General features: G+C 36.4%; 1 protein-coding gene across 20 annotated transcripts in view; it reads right to left on the bottom strand.

Annotated features, from left to right (window-relative positions):
• Window positions 1-23,799, bottom strand: part of SNTG1 (syntrophin gamma 1) — an 886,897-nt gene that overhangs the window by 690,116 nt on the left and 172,982 nt on the right. The window lies entirely within an intron of this gene.

Raw genomic sequence — 23,799 nt, 5'->3', positions numbered from 1 at the left:
ACCTCAAAATGAGAAGAGCCATCTCTGACAAATCTGCAGTCAACATCATTGAATGAGCAAAAGCTGGAGTCACTGCTCTTGAGAACTGGAACAAGATGAGGATGGCCAACCCTCACTATTCCTATTCAACATAGTACTGTGAAATGGTTAGTTCTGTGTCCCCACCCAAATCTCATGTTGAATTATAATTCCCAATTTTGGGAGAGGGACTTGGTGGGAAGTGATTGGATCATGGAGGTGGATTCCCCCCATGTTATTCTCATGATAGTGAGTGAGTTCTCATGAGATCTGATTATTTAAAACTGTGTGACAATTCCTCTCCTTGCTCTCCTCCCTCTATGTGAAGAAGATTCTTACTTCCCCTTCTCCTTCCACCATGATTGTAAGTTTCCTTAGGCCTCCCATTCATGCTTCCTGTTAAGCCTGCAGAACTGTTAGTCAATTAAATTCTTTTCTTCATAGATTAACCAGTCCCAGGTAGTTATTTATAGCAGTGTACGAATAGACTAATACATACTGGAAGTCCTAGCTAAAGCAATCAGGCAAGAGAAAGAAATAAAAGGCATCCAAATAGGAAGAGAGTAAGTCAAACTATTTTTGTTTGCAGATGATATGATTCTATACCTAGAAAACCCCACAGTAATTACCCAAAAGCTTCCAGATCTGATAAACAACTTTGTCAAAGTTTCAGGATACAAAATCAATGTATAAAAATCAGTAGGATTTCTATATGCCAGTAATGTCCAAGCTGAAAGCCAAATTCAGAATGCGATCTCACTCACAATAGTCACAAAAATAATAAAATACCTAGGAATACAGCTAACCAGGAAAGCGAAATTTCTCTACAATGAGATTTACAAAACACTGCTGAAAGAAATCAGAGACATCACAACTAGAAAAATATCCCATGCTCATGAATAGGAAGAATTGATGCTGTCAAAATGGCCATACTGCACAAAGCAATTTACAGATTAAATACTATTCCTACTAAAATTCCAATAACTTTCTTCACAGAATTAGAAAAAAATTATTTGAAGACAAAAAAGAGCCCAAAGAGCCAAAACAATAATAAGCAAAAAAAACAAAACAAAACAAAACAAAAAAGCTGAAGACATCATGTTACTCAAATTCAAACTATACTTCAAGGCTACAATAACCAAAAGAGCATGGTACTGGTACAAAATAGAAACACAAACCAATGGAATAGAATGGAGAGTGCAGAAATAAAACTACACACCTACAACCATCTGATTTCAACAAAGTCAAGAAAACAAGCAATGGGAAAAGAACTTCCTATTCAATAAATGATGCTGAAATAACTGGCTGCCCATATGCAGAAGATAGGAGCTGGACTCCTTCCTTACGCCATATACATAAATCAACTCAAGAGGGACTAAAGACTTCAATGTAAAACTTAAAACTATAAAAGCCCTGGAAAGTAACCTAGGAATGGATGTAGGATATGGCAAAGATTTCAAGATGCAGATGCCAAAAGTAACTACAACAAAAACAAAAATTGACAAATATGACCTAATTAAATTAAAAGGCTTCTGCAGAGCAAAAGAAACCATCAACAGAGTAAATAGACAACCTACAGAATGGAAGAAAATATTTGCAAATTCTGCATCCTACAACAGTCTAATATGCATAATCTATAAGGAAACTAATCACAACAACAAGTGAAAAACAAACAACCCCATTGAAAAGTGGACAGAGGGCATGAACAGACACTTCTCAAAACAAGACATACACATGGCCAGAAGCAAAATGAAGGCAGAAATAAAGATGTTCTTTGAAACCAACAAGAACAAAGACACAACATACCAGAATCTGTGGGACACATTCAAAGCAGTGTGTAGAGGGAAATTTATAGCACTAAATGCCCACAACAGAAAGCAGGAAAGATCCAAAATTGACACCGTAACATCACAATGAAAAGAATTAGAAAAGCAAGAGCAAACACATTCAAAAGCTAGCAGACGGCGAAAAATAACTAAAATCAGAGCAGAACTGAAGGAAATAGAGACACAAAAAAACGCTTCAAAAAATTAATGAATCCAGGAGCTGGTTTTTTGAAAGGATCAACAAAATTGATAGACCGCTAGCAAGACTAATAAAGAAGAAAAGAGAGAAGAATAAAATAGACGCAATAAAAAATGATAAAGGGGATATCAGCACCGATCCCACAGAAATACAAACTACCATCAGAGAATACTTCAAACACCTCTATGCAAATAAACTAGAAAATCTAGAAGAAATGGATAAACTCCTCGACACATACACCCTCCCAAGACTAAACCAGGAAGAAGTTGAATCTCTGAATAGACTAATAACAGGCTCTGAAATTGTGGCAATAATCAACAGCTTACCAACCAAAAAGAGTCCAAGACCAGATGGATTCACAGCTGAATTCTACCAGAGGTACAAGGAGGAACTGGTACCATTCCTTCTGAAACTATTCCAATCAATAGAAAAAGGGGGACTCCTCCCTAACTCATTTTATGAGGCCAGCATCATCCTGATGCCAAAGCTGGGCAGAGACACAACCAAAAAAGAGAATTTTAGACTGATATCCCTGATGAACATTGATGCAAAAATCCTCAATAAAATACTGGCAAACCAAATCCAGCAGCACATCAAAAAGCTTATCCAGCATGATCAAGTGGGCTTCATCCCTGGGATGCAAGGCTGGTTCAATATTTGCAAATCAATAAATGTAATCCAGCATATAAACAGAACCAAAGACAAAAACCACATGACTATCTCAATAGATGCAGGAAAAGCCTTTGACAAAATTCAACAACTCTTCATGCTAAAAACTCTCAATAAATTAGGTATTGATGGGACGTATCTCAAAATAATAAGAGCTATCTATGACAAACCCACAGCCAATATCATTCTGAATGGGGAAAAACTGGAAGCATTCCCTTTGAAAACTGGCACAAGACAGGGATGCCCTCTCTCACCACTCCTATTCAACATAGTGTTGGAAGTTCTGGCCAGGGCAATTAGGCAGGAGAAGGAAATAAAGGGTATTCGATTACGAAAAGAGGAAGTCAAATTGTCCCTGTTTGCAGATGACATGATTGTATATCTAGAAAACCCCATCATCTCAGCCCAAAATCTCCTTAAGCTGATAAGCAACTTCAGCAAAATCTCAGGATACAAAATCAATGTACAAAAATCACAAGCATTCTTATACACCAACAACAGACAAACAGAGAGCCAAATCATGAGTGAACTCCTATTCACAATTGCTTCAAAGAGAATAAAATACCTAAGAATCCAACTTACTAAGGACGTGAAGGACCTCTTCAAGAAGAACTACAAACCACTGCTCAATGAAATAAAAGAGGATACAAAGAAATGGAAGAACATTCCATGCTCATGGGTAGGAAGAATCAATATCGTGAAAATGGCCATACGGCCCAAGGTAATTTATAGATTCAATGCCATCCCCATCAAGCTACCAATGACTTTCTTCACAGAATTGGAAAAAACTACTTTCAAGTTCATATGGAACCAAAAAAGAGCCCGCATCGCCAAGTCAATCCTAAGCCAAAAGAACAAAGCTGGAGGCATCACACTACCTGACTTCAAACTATACTACAAGGCTACAGTAACCAAAACAGCATGGTACTGGTACCAAAACAAAGATATAGATCAATGGAACAGAACAGAGCCCTCAGAAATAACGCCGCATATCTACAACTATCTGATCTTTGACAAACCTGACAAAAACAAGCAATGGGGAAAGGATTCCCTATTTAATAAATGGGGCTGGGAAAACTGGCTAGCCATATGTAGAAAGCTGAAACTGGATCCCTTCCTTACACCTTATACAAAAATTAATTCAAGATGGATTAAAGATTTAAACGTTAGACCTAAAACCATAAAAACCCTAGAAAAAAACCTAGGCATTACCATTCAGGACATAGGCATGGGCAAGGACTTCATGTCTAAAACACCAAAAGCAATGGCAACAAAAGCCAAAATTGACAAATGGGATCTAATTAAACTAAAGAGCTTCTGCACAGCAAAAGAAACTACCATCAGAGTGAACAGGCAACCTACAAAATGGGAGAAAATTTTTGCAACCTACTCATCTGACAAAGGGCTAATATCCAGAATCTACAATGAACTCAAACAAATTTACAAGAAAAAAACAAACAACCCCATCAAAAAGTGGGTGAAGGACATGAACAGACACTTCTCAAAAGAAGACATTTGTGCAGCCAAAAAACACATGAAAAAATGCTCATCATCACTGGCCATCAGAGAAATGCAAATCAAAACCACAATGAGATATCATCTCACACCAGTTAGAATGGCAATCATTAAAAAGTCAGGAAACAACAGGTGCTGGAGAGGATGTGGAGAAATAGGAACACTTTTACACTGTTGGTGGGACTGTAAACTAGTTCAACCATTGTGGAAGTCAGTGTGGCGATTCCTCAGGGATCTAGAACTAGAAATACCATTTGACCCAGCCATTCCATTACTGGTTATATACCCAAAGGATTATAAATCATGCTGCTATAAAGACACATGCACACGTATGTTTATTGCGGCACTATTCACAATAGCAAAGACTTGGAACCAACCCAAATATCCAACAATGATAGACTGGATTAAGAAAATGTGGCACATATACACCATGGAATACTATGCAGCCATAAAAAATGATGAGTTCGTGTCCTTTGTAGGGACATGGATGAAATTGGAAATCTTCATTCTCAGTAAACTATCGCAAGGACAAAAAACCAAACACCGCATGTTCTCACTCATAGGTGGGAATTGAACAATGAGAACACATGGACACAGGAAGGGGAACATTACACTCTGGGGACTGTTGTGGGGTGGGAGGAGGGGGGAGGGATAGCATTAGGAGATATACCTAATGCTAAATGACGAGTTAATGTGTGCAGCACACCAGCATGGCACATGTATACATATGTAACTAACCTGCACATTGTGCACATGTACCCTAAAACTTAAAGTATAATAATAATAAAATAAAATAAAATAAGAAAATATACTCCCCATCACTAATCATTAGGAAATGCATATCAAAACCACCATGAGATATTCTCTCACATCAGCCAGATGGTTATTATTAAAAACTCAAAGAATAACGATGCTGAAGAAGTTGTGAAGAAAAGGGAATGCTTATACACTGCTGGTGGGAATGCAAATTAGTTCAGCCTCTGTGGAAAGTAGTTTGGAGATTTCTCAAATAACTTAAAACAGGACTACCATTTCACCCAACAATCCTATTACTGACTATATACTCAAAGGAATATTAATTTTCTACCATAAAAACAGACGCATGTGTATGTTCATTGCAGCCCTATTATCATTAGCAAAGACATAGCATAAACCTAGATGCCCACCAATGATGGATTGCGTAAGGAAAATGTGGTACATATATACCATGGAATACTATGCAGCCATAAAAAAGAGTGAGATCATGTTTTTCACAGCAACATAGATGGAACTGGAGGCCATTATCCTAAGCAAAGTAACGTAGGAACAGAAAACCAAATACCATATGTTCTTGTTTATAAGTTGGAGATAAACATTGAATACACGTGGACACAAAGAAAATAACAGACACCAGGGAATATTTGAAGGTGGACAGTGGGAGGAGGGTGAGGATGAAAAAACTGACTATTGGGTACTATGCGTCTCACTTGGGTGATGAAATAATCTATACACCAAACCCCAATGACATACAATTTACCTATAAAACAAACCTGCACATGGATCCCTGAACCTAAAATAATTTTTTAAAAAAAGGAATGTTAAGTATTATTGTACTTTTAAAAACCTGAAAATGGAAATATGACATAGAAAATGCATACCAAGTACTGTTTATGAAGAAAAATCTAGATAAAACTCTAATTAACAAGCTTCTCTTCAAAGAAAGTAACTTAGCCTTACCTCAAAAGTTTGTCAAGTAAATATTCAATTATAATATTGTGTTAATATATTTGAAGGAATATGTCCTTTTTTAATTGACAGGTAATAAACTGTACAAATTTATCAGATACATAGTGATGTTTTGATACATACAGTGCATAGTGATCAAATCAGGGTAATCAGCATGTCCATCACCTCACTTACAGTTTCTTTGTGTTGCGAATATTCAAAACCCTCTCCTTTAGCAGTTTGAAAGTATATAATAAATTATTGTTAACTATAGTCATCCTATAGTAATATAGAACACTAGAACTTGTTCTTTCTATTTAGTTGTAATTTTGCATCCTTTAATAAAACTGTCCTTTTCCTTCCCTCCCTCTGTCCTTCACAACCTCTAGTAACCACTATTCTACTCTATTTTACTCTACTTCTATGAAATCAACTTTTTTTAGCTTCTGCATATGAGTGAGAACATGTGGTATTAACTTTTCTTTTCCTGGCTTATTTCACTTACTTTAATGTCTTCCCAGCTCATCCATGTTGTCTCGAATGACAGGATTTCATTTTTTTCTGTGGCTGAATAGTATTCCAATGTGTATGTACACCACATTTGCATTGTCCGTCATCTATTGATGAACACTTAGGCACCAAAAGCAAAAACAGACAAATGGGATTCTGTCAAACTAAAAAAAGCCAAGGAATCAACAACACAGTGAAAAGACCACCTACAAAATGGGAGAAAATATTTGCAAATCTTTCATCCAACAAGGAATTAATATCCAAAATATACAAGGAACTCAATACAATAGCAAAAAAACTGCAAATAATTCAATTAAAAATGTGCAAATGCTCTGATTAGCCATTTCTCAAAAAAGCTACAAATAACCAACAGATTTATGAGAAAATGTTCAACATCACTATTCATCAGGGAAATGCAATCAAAACCACAGGATATCATCTCATCCCGATTAGAATGCCTATTATCACAAAGATAAAAGATAGCAAATGCTAGTGAGAATGTGGAGAATGGGAACTCATACACTGTTGAAGGGAATTCAAACTAGTACAGTTACTGTGGAGAGCAGCATGAAGTTTCCTCAAGAAGCTGCATATAGATCTACCATTTGGCACAGGAATCCTACCTCTGGATATCTATCCAAAAGAAAGGAAATTTTATCAAAGAGACACTTGCATCCCCACGTTTACTGCAGCACTATTGAAAATTGCTAAGATAATGGGAATATGTCAATTTTGAAGATCCTCCTTTCTAATCAATGTTCTTGAATAATCACAAATTTGGTTTCTGTCTTGTTTGTGTATCCATGTGTGGCTGTATGCATTTTAGCCACAGACACTATGTAAAATATAAAGAATATCTGGGTTCTGTTTAAAAACAATTAAAATACTATCTAAATTCTCAAAGACCAGCAGCAGAAAATCTACTTGTTATGTAGAGAATATCATCATCAGTGGACTCAGAGTGGAATTCTACCTGTTCCCAAATAGCTCTCCAGTTCAAGTAACACAGAGTCTGAAATTTTACCATTAGACACATATCCCTAATGGTTGACTCACTTATTTTTTGTGAGGTGCTTTTAAATAGTTTTAAATTTCAGTATAAAACCTCAAAAATTTCAAAATGCCTTCTGTAACCTCTAGATGGATTGTGGCCCGTTGTTCTATGTGTACATGTAACATTGTTTACCTCCTACAGAAGAACAATAGTGTGATTTGTTCACTATTTTGTGTAAAGCTGTAATGAGTACCTGTCTTCTTTGCTAGGTTATGAACTCCAATGAAAGTGCACTTATGTTCCACAAAATCTTCAAAACCTAGAACATTGCCTGCCTAAGGAATAAATGACTGTATATATTCATGTTAAATCACTTGCAAAATTATATGGCTTATAAATAAGGACTGATATTCAAACACATAACTTGTTCAAGATCACATCTTATATGGATCTCATTATGAAATGAGCTTGTCTAAATTCTAAACCCATGCTTTCTCCACTATATTAAGAATCATTACAGTGATCCCTCAATATCCATGGGGAACTGGCTCCAGGATCTCCACAGAAAACAAAATCCACGGATGTTCAAGCCATTGATCTAAAATGGCCTACTATTTGTGTTTAACCTATGCACATCCTCCTGCATACTTATCTCTAGATTACGTATACCAAATGCAATGAAAATCCTATGTAAATAGTTGTTAGATGGTATTATTTAGGGAATAATGACAAGGAAAAAGTCAGTATATCTTCAGTATAGATGCAATTTAGTTTTTCAATATTTTCAATCTACAAATGAGTAACCTAGCGATACAAAGGGCCCACTGTATATTACCCTATCTTGAAATGAAATACTGACTGGAAGAATATTTTATTCATGAAATTGGGATAAATTAGTTGGCATATGGTCTTTTCTTGACCAGCAAGATGAAATCAGTAGCAATATCCTGGAAAGATTTGAAACCATGAAAATAATTAAAAACAATGTCAGGAGAGAATGAAGATAAATATTTTTATGTCTCTGTTTTTCCTGGAGTTGAGCTATGTTTTAATTAATCTGAAATTTCTACTCCCTGTAAGAAAAATAATAATGACAATTATAAGATTTTGGAGAAGTAGGAAGTAGAAAAAATTCAATTGCTTTTCACACACCAAAACTAAATATTTACAACTTTAGACATATTAATATTTTAAAAAGACATATGTAAACTAAGCATGCCAAGTATAACCATTGAAACAAAAGCTGTTGCATAAACAAATTTGAATGAAATACAGCATACTTAACAAGCAACACCTCTCTTACATAAAAAGTTCTTTTGTATCTGGTACTGCCAAGACTCATGATGGGTGAATTTCATGATGAAGTTCTCTTAAGTTTTTTCACTCTCAATCAGAGTCAACAAAACTGTATTTTCTTCATAATCTTAAAGTACATAAAGTATACACTATACTTGTAACTCTCCTTAGTTTCGTTTTTTGTTTTTTTTTTTGAGACGGAGTCTCATTTTGTCGCCCAGGCTGGAGTGCTGTGGCGCGATCTCCGCTCACTGCAAGCTCCGCCTTCCGGGTTCACACCATTCTCCTGCCTCAGCCTCCCGAGTAGCTGGGACTACAGGCGCCCGCCACTGCGCCCGGCCTCTCTCCTTAGTTTCAAAATTGACTAAGTTAGAAAAGAATATTTCTCTGACATATAAGGAATTTTGTGATTGTGAGTGTGGTTGACACTACTCTAAAAACTACAAGAAAGAAATAATTTCATTTTAATTTTTTTTAAAGCTACATTTGTTTAAAACTATTAGTTCCTAGCAAAAACAAATTCTTCAACATGGACTATATCAAATTCACAACTAAGCATCTACACATAATTATTAATTGAATATTATGTCAGCAATTTTAAAAAGTTTTAGTCTTTGGGAGGCCAAGGCAAGCGGATCACGAGGTCAGGAGATTGAGACCATCCTGGCCAACACGACGAAACTGCGTCTCTACTAAAAACACAAAAAAATTAGCCGGGTGTGGTGGTGGGCACCTGTAGTCCCAGCTACTTGGGAGGCTGAGGCAGGAGAATGGTGTGAACCCAGGAGGTGGAGCTTACAGTAAGCAGAGATCACGCCACTGCACCCCAGCCTGGGCCACAGATTTAGACTCCATCTCAAAAAATAATAATAATAATAATAAAAAGTTTTAGTAAGAATTCAGTGTTTTGTATTTTCCTGCAGTGATTATGCTACTTTTTGAGTAACACTACTACTATTTTTTTCATACTCAGATCCAAATACTTGCAGAATGTATTAATTCACTTATATCCTGAATGACTACTTTGGCATAAAAACATTAAGATAGCTCATTCATAACTTTTGTGGATAATCTTACCAAATTTTTGTGAGCTGTTCTAAAAACAAAGACAAACTTACATGAAGCTATTCTTTCTGGAAAAAGTCCCTACTTTGCAATATGTATCTCCTATTTTAGTTCAGAAATATGTTATATCTTGCCACCTTTTGGTGCACATTTTATGATTCCCATTGACAGTAGGTAATATTATGAACAGAGAAATATATAAACTGCCCCTTCACTTGAAAACATATTACTCCACAATTCAGTTTTCAGCAAGATTACAATAATTGTATTGTGAACTCAAGGAAAGCCTTTATTTACTTCAAGGGTAGATTCATTTGGATGTCATCGTTTACACTGACAAATTCCCCATCGCCTCCTTCACAATTATACTCGCCACTTCTATCCAATAAGTTTCTTTATGTTTTGCAGAAGCTCCAAGATTTCCAGAGTTACACCTTAGCCAAAAAAATCAATGAAACAAATTTGAACTATTGTAATTTAAAAAGTGCTGAACTCTTCCACAATTGTATTACGTTATTGTTTATCTATCCCCTTTCACCTAATCCTCAAATTCAATACTGTCAAGAAGGGTGGTTGTGTGGAATGGATATTGACATTGATGGAAATTGAATCCTAGTCTTGGGATTTGCCAGTTTTTAGCCATCTGACCTTGGAGAGGAAACAAAACCAAATTGCACATCATTATAAAGATTTAAAATGGTAAAATATATTACAGTGCAATTTCCAGGTTTTAGCATTTACTAGATTGGGGCTCTATTGACCTTAAAAATGTTTGTCATTCATGGAATTTTTTTTTTAGATTCAGGTAATAATAATTAAGATAATAATTTAAAATGTTCTGATAATTTTCACATTTCAAAATAATTTCATATTTTAGGTATTTTGTTTATCAACAAAAATGTTAGAAATAGGCTTGTGCTCACTTTGGAGAATTTGAAAAAAAGCACCAGTAAAGAAAAACTGACCACAAAGGAGAGATTCTAAAAAAACAAACAAAATCCACATCTTTCTTCAGTTTTTTTCCACATTTTTTTACCTGTATTTAAAGGCACTTTAAAAGAAATAAACAAAGCAAACAAACATATTCTAGTACAACATTTCTGTACATTCTTTTCTGAATATTAAGGGCATGTCACAATTGTACACAGTAGTAACCTGCATAGCTACAACTTTCTGCCTTCTGGTTTTGCACACAGAAAAAAAAACAGGATCATATCTTATGTGGATTTCATTATGAAATGTGCTTGTATAAAAATCTATTGTATATAAAATCCACTGTATAACTGGCAGACTTTTACCTTTTCCTCAATAGGCCACCTGACCTCAGTACTGTCCAGAATGACTTTCTTCATTTTGAGCAACGCTGAGACTGTTTCTGTCATTCACATATCTAAATGCTTGCAGAGATCACATCCACAGAAAGGTTTCAGTCCTTAAACTACTAGATTTCTTTTTTCTTCTTTCTCAACTTTTATTGTAGGTTTGGGGGTATGTGTGCAGGTTTGTTATGTGGGTAAATTATGCATTGCTGGGGTTTGGTGTGCAAATGATCACATCACCCAGGTAGTGAGCATAGTACCCAACAAGCAGTTTTTCAACCCTCACTGTCCTCCCACTTTCCACCCTGAAGTAGACCCTGACGTTTATTGCTCCCGTCTTTTTGTCTATGTGTATTCAACGTTTAACTGTCATTTGTAAGTGAGAATATGCGGTATTTGGTTTTCTGTTTCTGCATTAGCTTGCTTAGGATAATGTCCTCCAGCTGCAACCATGTTGCAAAGGACAAGATTTTCTTCTTTTCTATGGCTATGTAATAGTCTATGGTGTATATGTGCCACATTTTCTTTATCCAGTTTACCATTGATGGGCAGATAGGCTGATTCCATGTCTTTGCTATCATGAATAGTGCTGCAATGAACATAGGAGTGCATGTGTCCTTTTTGGTAGAAAGATTTATATTCCTCTGCGTATATACCCAGTAATGAGATTGCTGGGTCCAATAGCAGTTCTGTTTTAAATCCTTTGAGAAATCTCCAAACTGCTTTCCACTACTCCTACCAACATTATAAGTGTTCCCTTGTCTCTGCAACATGTATCTGTTATTTTTTTGACTCTTTCATAGCCATTCTGATTTGGTGTGAAGGCATCTCACTGTTGATTTGATTTGCATTTCTCTATGATTAGTGATGTGGAGCATTTTTTTTCATATGCTTATTGGCCACATGTATGTCTTCTTTTGAGAAGTATCTGTTCATATCCATTGCTCATTTTTTAATAGGGTTGTTTGTTTTTTGCTTGTTGATTTCTTTAGGTTCCTTATAGATTTTGGATATTAGACCTTTGTCAGACATATAACTTGCAAGTATTTTCCTCCATTTTGAAGACTGTGTGTTTCCTCTCTTGATAGTTTCTTTTGCTGCACAGAAGCCCTTTGCATACATTACTAAATTTATAAACAGTAAATTTGCTTATTTGTAAATAAGTAAGCCTTCCTGTTAACTTTTTTCCCTGAATTGGTTTGACAGTTCAGTTCCATCTTCTTTCCCTTAGCACAATAATCTCTCATTTCTTTACACACTTTTCTACCTCTGTTCACTCTTGAAGTGTTGATGTGTCCTCAGTGCTACTTATCTACTTCTTCCTACCCTCCCTGCACACTCCCAAACACACATATAATTTCAGCAAACACCTCCACAAGACTCAGACATCAGTATCTTCAAGCCGCATACTGCCTCATACTCCAACTGCATCCTAAAATATATACATAAATGAAAACCAAACACATAGACAGATGGCTTTTCCTTTTTCTTTGTTCTGTCTATCTCAAGTAATGTCCTCATTATCTTCTCAAGTTAACCACACTAGAATCTTCAGTTTTATTTGAATCTGCTATTTCTTTCACATCTTTCTTCTGAAACCTCACAACACTGTATTCATCTTCCTATCCCATGTCTCTTTATGGTTTAATCTTGCTTGATGGCTTTTCACTACCTTCAGATAAAATCCCAAACTCCTCCATGGATGTGGACTTTTCACAATTTTTTAACAGTCTACTTCTTTACCTTAGCCAACTGCCCCTATACTTTATAACTAAATTTTATAATACTTAGCATCTCGTAGGTCTTACAAGGGACCATATTCTTTCATGGCATAACATCTTTGTGCCTGATGTTTTCTCCAGGGACTCTGTAGGAAAGAACTTCAGGCAGGAATGAAGTTCTAGTCCAGCCCTAAAATGAAATCCACATGGAATTTTGGTTGCTATTTCACTTGGCTTCACAGAAACCACTCAGGAGTGGCTAGTGTTATTTGGTGCTAATTACTGGTGAGTATGCCAGCCCTTTTGCACCTTGATATAAAAAATGTGGTCTGTGTGATAAATATATTATAATATTAGGTAATGATGATGTCTATGTGATTGTGAACATGCTAAAAACCACTGAATTGTACACTTTAATGGATGATTGTTACAGTATATCAATTATATCTCAGTAAGATTGTAATTGAAAGAAAATATATGGTCCCAGGCCTTATATTAAACTTACTGAGTTTTAATGAGACCTCCAGGTCATTTGGATATGTATATTAATGTTTGAGAATTACTTTAGAGTATGGTAGGGTTTGGCAAACCCTTCCTTAGGTGGAATCATTAACAATGACTGTCCACCCACATATGAATCTCATCATTGGGTATATGTGCTCCACAACTAGAATCAATGCTTCTCATGGCTAGCTCTACACAGATGGGTGTTAATATTATTTGCTCTTGAGAATTCTCCTTCAACGAGATCCACTGGTGTCTTACCACCAGCCACAGTGCTTTCCTTTTGGGATAAATCCATAGAATGTAAATTATAATACTTTTACTGTATTGAATTACACTCTCTCCCAATACAGTATGTTTTATTGGGAGTGTTGTCTTTCTTATCTTTGCATTACTAGAATCTAGCACAGCAACATTGTACTCCACAGAGACTGTCGAATAATATTAAAACTGTTTGTCAGTGTAACATGGTTGTGATAGTCATAGTCTCCTGAGAAGCAAATGCTAAGATGTGATTCAATGTGCAAGAATTATATTAGGGAAATACCTGTGAAAGAAAATGAAGAAGAAGCCTAAGAAGTCTAGAAAATCCATGATGCAAGGCTGACTCTGAGTGAAGAAGAGAGGGAAAATGGGGTGGAAGTGTCCTAAGTAGCTATTTAAGCTGAAGAAAGTTCAGCAAGGATATCAGGGAGTCCTGAAGCCAAAATCAGGTGTGCGCCAAATCCCACCCAAGTTTTCCAGAAATGGATCTGCCTGTTATCATTCCTGCCGGTCAGTCAGGTTGGGTGTGGCCCATGGGAAATGTGGTTTTTGAGCAAACACATCTGTAGACTTCAGAGTACGGAAACACGGCCTTCCTAAAGGAAGAGACTGGAAGAGCATTTTGATAGCTGCCTCAGTGGCTCTCAAAAACCTCCCAAATCTGATGTATTTAGGTTTTTCACAACATGTCCACTGATAGCAATGACCATCTAATTAAGGTCTTTGTATTTTTCCTCATTTGACATTGATTCATCCCCACGTATGAAGTCCCTGCTATGTCCTCCTTCCAGGAACGGGGAGCTTAACCAGATGGGCCAGGCTTCTGCCATCAGAAAACTAAAGGACACAAAACAGCAAACCTGATGCAAGTCAATTATTAATTATAATCTCATTCAGTGGCATACAATAAATAAAGGCATTATATTTTCCTTAGAATACGAAGTGGGAAAAGAAGGGTTTTATTGGTTTGAGTTTTTGGTTTTTGTTTTTTTTAGACTGGGCGTTCCCAGGTGACAGATTTTATATTTTGTCATTGCTATCTCACTCAGCAGAAGTCCTAACATACTGTAGTTTACTCAGATTAAATCTGACATTTTAATTAAAATTATGTGGGACTTCTACAGACCATCAAATAGGAGAAAAAAAAATTAAATTTAAAAAGTTTTTTATCTGTTTATTATCCTGCTTATGGATTACACAAAACTTCTCATTGACCATTCTTCAGGGATATCATCAGGCAGGTTATTCTCAAGAAAAACATAAACAACACCTTAGGTGAAATATACTTATGAAATATAGAATCATGATACATACACACACACACAGTGAAATATTATTCAAATTTTAAAAATAAGAAAATCTTACCATTTTAGACAACACAGATGAACCTGGAGGACATTATTTACTGAAATAAACCAGGCACAGAAAGACAATGCTGCATGATCTCACTTATGCATGGAACTAAAAAAGTTAATGACATAAAAACAGAGTAGTGGAATGATGATAACCAGGGATTGGGAGTTGCAGATCATGAGAAGATGTTTCTCAATGAAGTTATGTAGGGTGAATAATCTAGAGACTTAATGTACAGAATGGTGACTATGATTAGTAATACTGTATTATATACTGGAAGTTTGCTAAAAGAGTAGATTTCAGGTGCTCTTACCACACGCACAAACATTAAAAAGAAAAAAAAAGGAAGAGAAATTCGAGACCGTTATGTAAATTTCCTTGACTGTAGTAATCATTTTACCACGTGTAAGTATATCAAAACATCATGCTTTACACCTTAAATATAAATAAGAAAAAAGAAAAATAGATAATCTCATTTTCTCTTGCTCCAAATTAAGAAAAAATATATTTTTATTACCAAATATTTTAATTATCTATGCCACTATGTTTATTCCTATTCATGGGAAAGTAAGAATTCATCTTGAAAACATATTTTTGGTCCATTAAGATTCTTGTGAGCACTCCTCATCTCTTTACCATCTTCCAGCATTTTTAAAAGTAGTAAACTAGTCCTTTCTATATAAATTTTCCAAAAGCATAATTTTAACAAGGGCCCCATTGTGGCCTTAATTTCAGAAAAGCTATCTTTTCATTCTTCTATTTCTTTTCCTACCTTCAATGCATTTTATTCATATGCTGTCTGTTTCTTTGTGTCTCAGGTTCTAACTAGTACAACATGTGCAGAGATATAATGGCTCTTCCTGATTGTATTGTCTGCCCAAGTACCCATCTTCCCTGCTTTTGTCAGCAGCCCTTGATATTTTTGGATCACACACTCGTTTTTGATTCCCATTCAGTATAATCTGAGAGAAGGGGAGCACTGGGTTCCAAAGTTAGTGTACAGGACCCAATTAGCTCATTGTCTTCACCCGGCCAAGCTAATAACTTAAAGAGTTATATAGACCTTGACCTGAGCTGGTGATTCCAGAATGAGTATCAAGACTTCTAGAGAACCTTCTGCAGATGAATCTTTCTAAATCTGCTGCTCTTTGATTTTGTGAGAACACAGGACTGAAGCTATCTTACCACCATGAAGGGAAAGCCTGTCTTGCATGAAAACCAATCCAGAGAAAGAGAAGAGAAACAAAGTGAGAGAAACTGCATCCAGGGATGTCTTCTGAGTCCCCCACTTAAGATGGGCATAGACCCAGCTCTATCCTTACCTCTTCGGTTACAAGTCGTGAGCCAACCAATTCCCCTTTTATTTAAGCCAATTTACAACTGGATTTTGTCACTTGCAAGTGAAACAGCCTGAGTAATATAGAAAACTAATGAAATTTGAAACTTTGCTCAAAGATTTTATAATATTTAAGAAGAAAAAGCAGAGGACTGGTATACAATTAATTGATGTTTACTTAATTTATTTGGCTCTGAAATGCTGTGTTTAATTTCTATGTGTTACTTGAAGACGACACTCTTACGGCCCTAGCCCTGGGAGTGATCCTATAGAAATTTTCTCTTCTAAAATAAATTATATTGTGAATAATGCCGCAATAAACATTCGTGTGCATGTGTCTTTATAGCAGCATGATTTATAGTCATTTGGGTATATACCCAGTAATGGGATGGCTGGGTCAAATGGTATTTCTAGTTCTAGATCCCTGAGGAATCGCCACACTGACTTCCACAATGGTTGAACTAGTTTACAGTCCCACCGACAGTGTAAAAGTGTTCCTATTTCTCCACATCCTCTCCAGCACCTGTTGTTTCCTGACTTTTTAATGATTGCCATTCTAACTGGTGTGAGATGGTATCTCATTGTGGTTTTGATTTGTATTTCTCTGATGGCCAGTGATGATGAGCATCTTTTCATGTGTTTTTTGGCTGCATAAATGTCTTCTTTTGAGAAGTGTCTGTTCATGTCTTTCGCCCACTTTTTGATGGGGTTGTTTGTTTTTTTCTTGTAAATTTGTTTGAGTTCATTGTAGATTCTGGATATTAGCCCTTTGTCAGGTGAGTAGGTTGCAAAAATTTTCTCCCATTTTGTAGGTTGCCTGTTCACTCTGATGGTAGTTTCTTTTGCTATGCAGAAGCTCTTTAGTTTAATTAGATCCCATTTGTCAATTTTGGCTTTTGTTGCCATTGCTTTTGGTGTTTTAGACATGAAGTCCTTGCCCATGCCTATGTCCTGAATGGTAATGCCTAGGTTTTCTTCTAGGGTTTTTATGGTTTTAGGTCTAACGTTTAAATCTTTAATCCATCTTGAATTAATTCTTGTATAAGGTGTAAGGAAGGGATCCAGTTTCAGCTTTCTACATATGGCTAGCCAGTTTTCCCAGCCCCATTTATTAAATAGGGAATCCTTTCCCCATTGCTTGTTTTTGTCAGGTTTGTCAAAGATCAGATAGTTGTAGATATGCGGCGTTATTTCTGAGGGCTCTGTTCTGTTCCATTGATCTACATCTCTGTTTTGGTACCAGTACCATGCTGTTTTGGTTACTGTAGCCTTGTAGTATAGTTTGAAGTCAGGTAGTGTGATGCCTCCAGCTTTGTTCTTTTGGCTTAGGATTGACTTGGCCATGCGGGCTCTTTTTTGGTTCCATATGAACTTTAAAGTAGTTTTTTCCAATTCTGTGAAGAAAGTCATTGGTAGCCTGATGGGGATAGCATTGAATCTGTAAATTACCTTGGGCAGTATGGCCATTTTCACGATATTGATTCTTCCTACCCATGAGCATGGAATGTTCTTCCATTTGTTTGTATCCTCTGTTATTTCCTTGAGCAGTGGTTTGTAGTTCTCCTTGAAGAGGTCCTTCACATCCCTTGTAAGTTGGATTCCTAGGTATTTTATTCTCTTTGAAGCAATTGTGAATGGGAGTTCACTCATGATTTGGCTCTCTGTTTCTCTGTTGTTGGTGTATAAGAATGCTTGTGATTTTTGTGCATTGATTTTGTATCCTGAGACTTTGCTGAAGTTGCTTATCAGCTTAAGGAGATTTTGGGCTGAGACAATGGGGTTTTCTAGATATACAATCATGTCGTCTGCAAACAGGGACAATTTGACTTCCTCTTTTCCTAATTGAATACCCTTTATTTCCTTCTCCTGCCTAATTGCCCTGGCCAGAACTTCCAACACTATGTTGAATAGGAGTGGTGAGAGAGGGCATCCCTGTCTTGTGCCAGTTTTCAAAGGGAATGCTTCCAGTTTTTGCCCATTCAGTATGATATTGGCTGTGGGTTTGTCATAGATAGCTCTTATTATTTTGAAATACGTCCCATCAATACCTAATTTATTGAGAGTTTTTAGCAAAGACTTGGAACCAACCCAAATGTCCAACAATGATACACTGGATTAAGAAAATGTGGCACATATACGCCATGGAATACTATGCAGCCATAAAAAATGATGAGTTCGTGTCCTTTGTAGGGACATGGATGAAATTGGAAATCATCATTCTCAGTAAACTATCACAAGAACAAAAAACCAAACACCGCATATTCTCACTCATAGGTGGGAATTGAACAATGAGATCACATGGACACAGGAAGGGGAATATCACACTCTGGGGACTGTGGTGGGGTGGGGGGAGGGGGGAGGGATAACATTGGGAGATATACCTAATGCTAGATGACGAGTTAGTGGGTGCAGCGCACCAGCATGGCACATGTATACATATGTAACTAACCTGCACAATGTGCACATGTACCCTAAAACTTAAAGTATAATAAAAAATAAATAAATAAAAAATAAATAAAATAAATTCTAAATACTTTTAAAAGTATAACAGGACTGCCCATAGTTGTCTGTCTAATTGTTTACATTTAAAGGTTAATAACACTATTATCCTCATATACTTTGAAATAAGGAAAGTTATTAAGTTTATGCTTTGATTAAGCATACACACAGAACTAAGTAGAATATATTTATAGACTATTATATGGTTTGGCTATGTAAGGATATTTTTCCCATGAAAGCACCTAAAATATTTTAGAAACAAAAGAGAAATGTAGGAAGAGGTATGCAAGAAAAGGTGGAACATTTTAGCATGATTTTGACACTGTGTAAAGAGGCTTGACATTATTGAAACAAATATTTATACATGGCATCATAAAATAGTAAACCACATGACTAAGAGTTTCAGCTGCTCTGGAACTGTGGAAGCTCTCTATTTGAGATACCAAAGCCGAGGGGTAATTGAGCACTAGTCTTGTTACAATCGAAGACAAACTTGACCCTTTCAGGGGAAGTTCAAATCCCGACGACATTACAACTGAGAGACCTTATTATATCTCTAAAAGAAGAAGCTGAAAACAAACCAGAGATTCTTGAGTCTTTCTAAACCATGTCTTATTCAGAAAAGATCAATCACAGAGGGCTGTTAAAAAATAGACATGATAATCTCTCACTTATTTCACAAAAACTATCTGGAACATAATGGTGTAATACCTCAAGCTGAAGGTACTCTTAATCCTGACAAGACCTTGAAGCTGACTTCTGTGTGAAACAAATAAAAGAACAATGACCTTGCCTTAGAAGTGTGAATACCACAATACATGCTGATCTTCAAAAAGAATGTTCTGAAAACAATGTCCGTTTCCAATGTTTAAAAAACCTTTATTTCACTGCTGCAGCTGCCTACAAGTTTGCTATTGGTGCTTTTTAAGCAGATATTCTAACCCTTCAGTACTTTACACAATATATAATAGGCTTATAATCTTTTTAAAATAAGGTGAGTTTTTGGTTTGTTTCCTTCCACTGATGGTCACTAAGACCATATTTTCAACCACCTCTTGCAAACAACACAGAAATCCATGTCTCTAGTTATGAACATTCAGTTGATTCCCAAAATTGCCATTCTCTTGTATCTTAGGCACAGCCTCCCATGCCTCAGGCCCTTCAAACATAACCCATGACATTATCTCCCAAGCCTGTCCTTCCCCTGGTATTTCCTATCTCTATAAATGATACAGACATTCATCTGACCTTTCAAGCAGAAAACTGGCCATCAGCCTAAAAAATTATCTCCCTCATCATGCAGGGCAACACTAATTGATTATTACATCATATTGACCCTTTTTCTACATATCCCTTCTGTGGCCTTGTGCCTAGATTCCATTTTTCTAAATTAATTCAGTCCATAATCCTTCCTAATGAAGTTTACTCAATTATAGCTTCCAAATGGTCTCCCTGCCTCCAACTTCTTCCTCTGTACCCATGGTTGTCTCCACACTTCCATCAGAGAGAAAAAACAACACTAAAATTGTGATGATGCCTAACAGTCATGTAGGGAATTCCTGTTAATTCCTTAAGATATAACTCAAACATCAGATGCAGCTCTCTGTAGTCCCCTATGTGGCCCAATTGTCTCTCTGAATTTTTCTTCTGCTGCACAGTGTTCCACATTTGTTTTAACCCTCAAGAAAATCATGAAAGCTTGTATGGACATAGTTGGTTGCTACCCCAAATCGATCCTTTTTTTTTTCTTTCTCTCAGAGAATTCCAGTTTAATCTGGGTATGAACTCATCATAAGACAAAAAAGTAAATCCTCATTGTGCTACGCCAGCAGTCCTCAGGCCGGCAGAAAATGTGGAACCTATAAAAGATACCATTGACAAGGCCCCAGTGTCAGAGATTCCGATTTCAGTGGTCCAACACAAGGCTTGGGCATCAGTGTGTGTTATAAGAGTTTTCCAAACCCTAAAGTACAGCCATGGATGAGAGAAATTGTGAGAGCATGTGGAGTTCCCAAAGATGTTTACTGTTCCAGGGTTTGGTGGATGAATTAATGAGCTAATCAGATGAAAAATAATGATTTACATTCTAGGCTCCAGGTCAGGATTACTTTATATCCTGCTGAATATGAACAGGCATGCAGTGCAGACTGCAGCACAGATTGTCTACTAAATGTGACAATGAGGAGACCAGCCTAAGAATGAAATTAACACTAGAGGAGTAGAGACAGAAAGAACCTGAGGGCTTGATGATACTATGAGGATGCTGGTTACACTGTGCATAGAGCCTTATCTTTGATCTTCAAATCCTTAAGCTCTTGACTTGCTCAGAAGAATGTAAAGTACATGAGAAAAATATTTTGTTTGCATTATCCAGGACTGCCTACCCATGCCTATAAAGGCATTCTGGTACTAACTATATAGTATAGAAGGAAGAGAAGAAAGAAGGAAGTCAGTTTTGTGAATTGTGACATTTAAAAAGGAGAGTGTAGATGCTGCTATGGAGTTGTCAGTTACTGATGAATTTTTCTATAAAGACTTGGTGCTCTAAATTGTTTGTTCTGACTTGCACACATTTTCTCTATATTCTTAATATCCTAGAATTTAAAATAAAAGTAAATAAAAGAGGCTTTATCTAAATTCTTCCATAATTACTTTCTAACATGGACAGATAGGATTACCTGGAGAAGACAAAGCATACCAGCTTCCTGCTCTTGCATCATCTAACTTAAGAGTGCACTTAAACTACAAACATGTTCATCATTAATTGTAGTTACAAACATGTTGTTTTTGTTTCTTGTCTGCTGCTATAACAGAATACCATAGACTGGATAATTTATGAAAAACAGAAGTTCTGAAGTCTGGAAAGCCCAAGATCAAGTGGCCACATCTGGTGAAGGCCTTCTTGCTGTGTCATAAAATGTCAGAAGGGCAAGCAAGCCCTAGAGATAGAAAAAAGAGGCTGAACTCCTGCAATAACTAACACACTCCCACAATAACAGCATTAATCCATTCATGTGGGCAGAGCCCTTGTGACCTAATCACATCTTAAAGACCCCACCTCTTTATGGTGTTACAATGGCAATTAAATTTCAACATGAGTTTTTTCAGAGACATTTAAGCCATAGCACATGTAACATATTGCAATGAGAGAGATGTTTACAGTTTGTGATTTTAGATGTTATAGCACAATAGTTTACTCTCATCTAAGTCATGAAATAAACCAAGGACCTGCAAATGACTTATCTGAGGTCATATAGATTTTGGTCATCTAAATTTTAGTCAAAAAATTAGTTTTACAGTCTACTTTTTTTTATTTTATTTTTTTTGAGATGGAGTCTCACTCTGTCACCAGGCTGGAGTGCAGTGGTGTGACCTAGGCTCACTGCAACCTCCGCCTTCAGGATTCAAGCAATTCTCTGCCTCAGCTTCCCCAGTAGCTGGGACTACAGGTGCCCACTACCATGCCAGGCTAATCTTTGTGTTTTTTTTTAGAGATGGGGTTTCACCATGTTGGCCAGGAAGGCCTTGATCTCTTGACCTCGTGATCTTCCTGCCTCGGCTTCCCAAGGAGCTGGGATTACAGGCGTGAGCCACTGCGCCTGGCCAGTTTTACAGTTTACTTAAATATTTTCTAGCATACACTATTTAGCACAACATTTCCCCCGACATGAACCACTTAGTGTGAGAGGTGTCTTTTAGAGATGGCTTTTGGAGTATCTATTACATTTAGAATGGCTATAGCAATAAAATAATTTGTGTGTTTAATGCTAAAAGAATGAAGAACTCAGAATTGAAAGAGGTTCTAAATTAAAGTTACATCAACAAATTAAGGCTTTTCTGGTTTTCCTAGAAATTGCAGAATAAGAAAACCATTTGATATTATTTGTATAACTGAAGATTCATAATTTTGAATAATACTCAAATGTTGCAAAATTACTGACTGGATAGTCAGAAGGCATGATGAAATGAACAAATGAAAAGTATAAGCAAACATAATCCCACCACTTTAGCAGTTAATATTTTCTCAGGAAACAGGACTATATCACAACACAGATACATATCTGTGTTAGCACACCACCACAAGGGATATTAACATTCCAAAAAAATGAATGCTTGAAGTAGTTGCTTGCATTATCTTATAGCTTATATGTATCATACACTATTTCTGATTAACAGAATTCTGTTAGTGAAAAAATATTTTGCTTTATATAAAATTCACAAGCTTAAAAACTGAATGTGCATGTAAATAATGAAGTTCACAGATTTCCAGTTGCTTTCTGTTTTACTAGAAGCCCTTTCTTTAATTAAAAGGCTTTGCTTATATTTTCTGCATTTGATTAAATGTATCCATCACAAGATAATTTATGGGTGCAAAATTGACTTCAATTATTGAGCAATGTATTTGTAAAGAATTATCTAAGTCTCTTTAGCTTTTTATATAAGCATTTATATAAAAATGTTGTTCTGACTCTTGGCTTGAGGAGCTTGACAAATCTTCCCCTCAAAAATCAACTGCAAAATTGAACAAACGGTCAAATCAGCAGTTTTAGAGCTCTGGGATTTAACAAAAGTCATAAAACCAACTAAGAAACATTAATTTATTGAGACTACTGAATTTCAGCTAAGAATAGTTAAAAATCTTGCCTAACAGTCTGTGATTGCTTCATCCACACTAGTCCCAGGACTCCCTCAGTTCTGTTGGCATAGTAGTTTAACCCAAATTGGAAGGATATGAAAACCAGCAGCTTTACACCTATTGTCAGAAAGGACTCACTTCATTGGGAGTATTATACATTAAACTGGAAATCTCAGTGGCAATTGAAAAAAGAGGTCAGTGGCTCCATTAGCCTGAGATTGAGGTCGTAGTTGGGGCAAACAATGAACTGTAGGAGTAGCACGGGATGTAATAGGGAGCTGTAGAAGTCAGATAGTCAAAGGAAGACTTAAGCTAGCCACATATCCCTGATTGATGGGAGTCACTGTGTGTGTCCAGCAGAGAGTAGAGGG

The sequence above is a fragment of the Homo sapiens genome, chromosome 8, assembly GCF_000001405.40.
Source record: "Homo sapiens chromosome 8, GRCh38.p14 Primary Assembly".
Classification (NCBI taxonomy): Eukaryota; Metazoa; Chordata; class Mammalia; order Primates; family Hominidae; genus Homo; species Homo sapiens.
The sequence above is the reverse complement of the archived record's forward strand: the minus strand, read 5'-3'. Positions and strand labels throughout refer to the sequence as shown.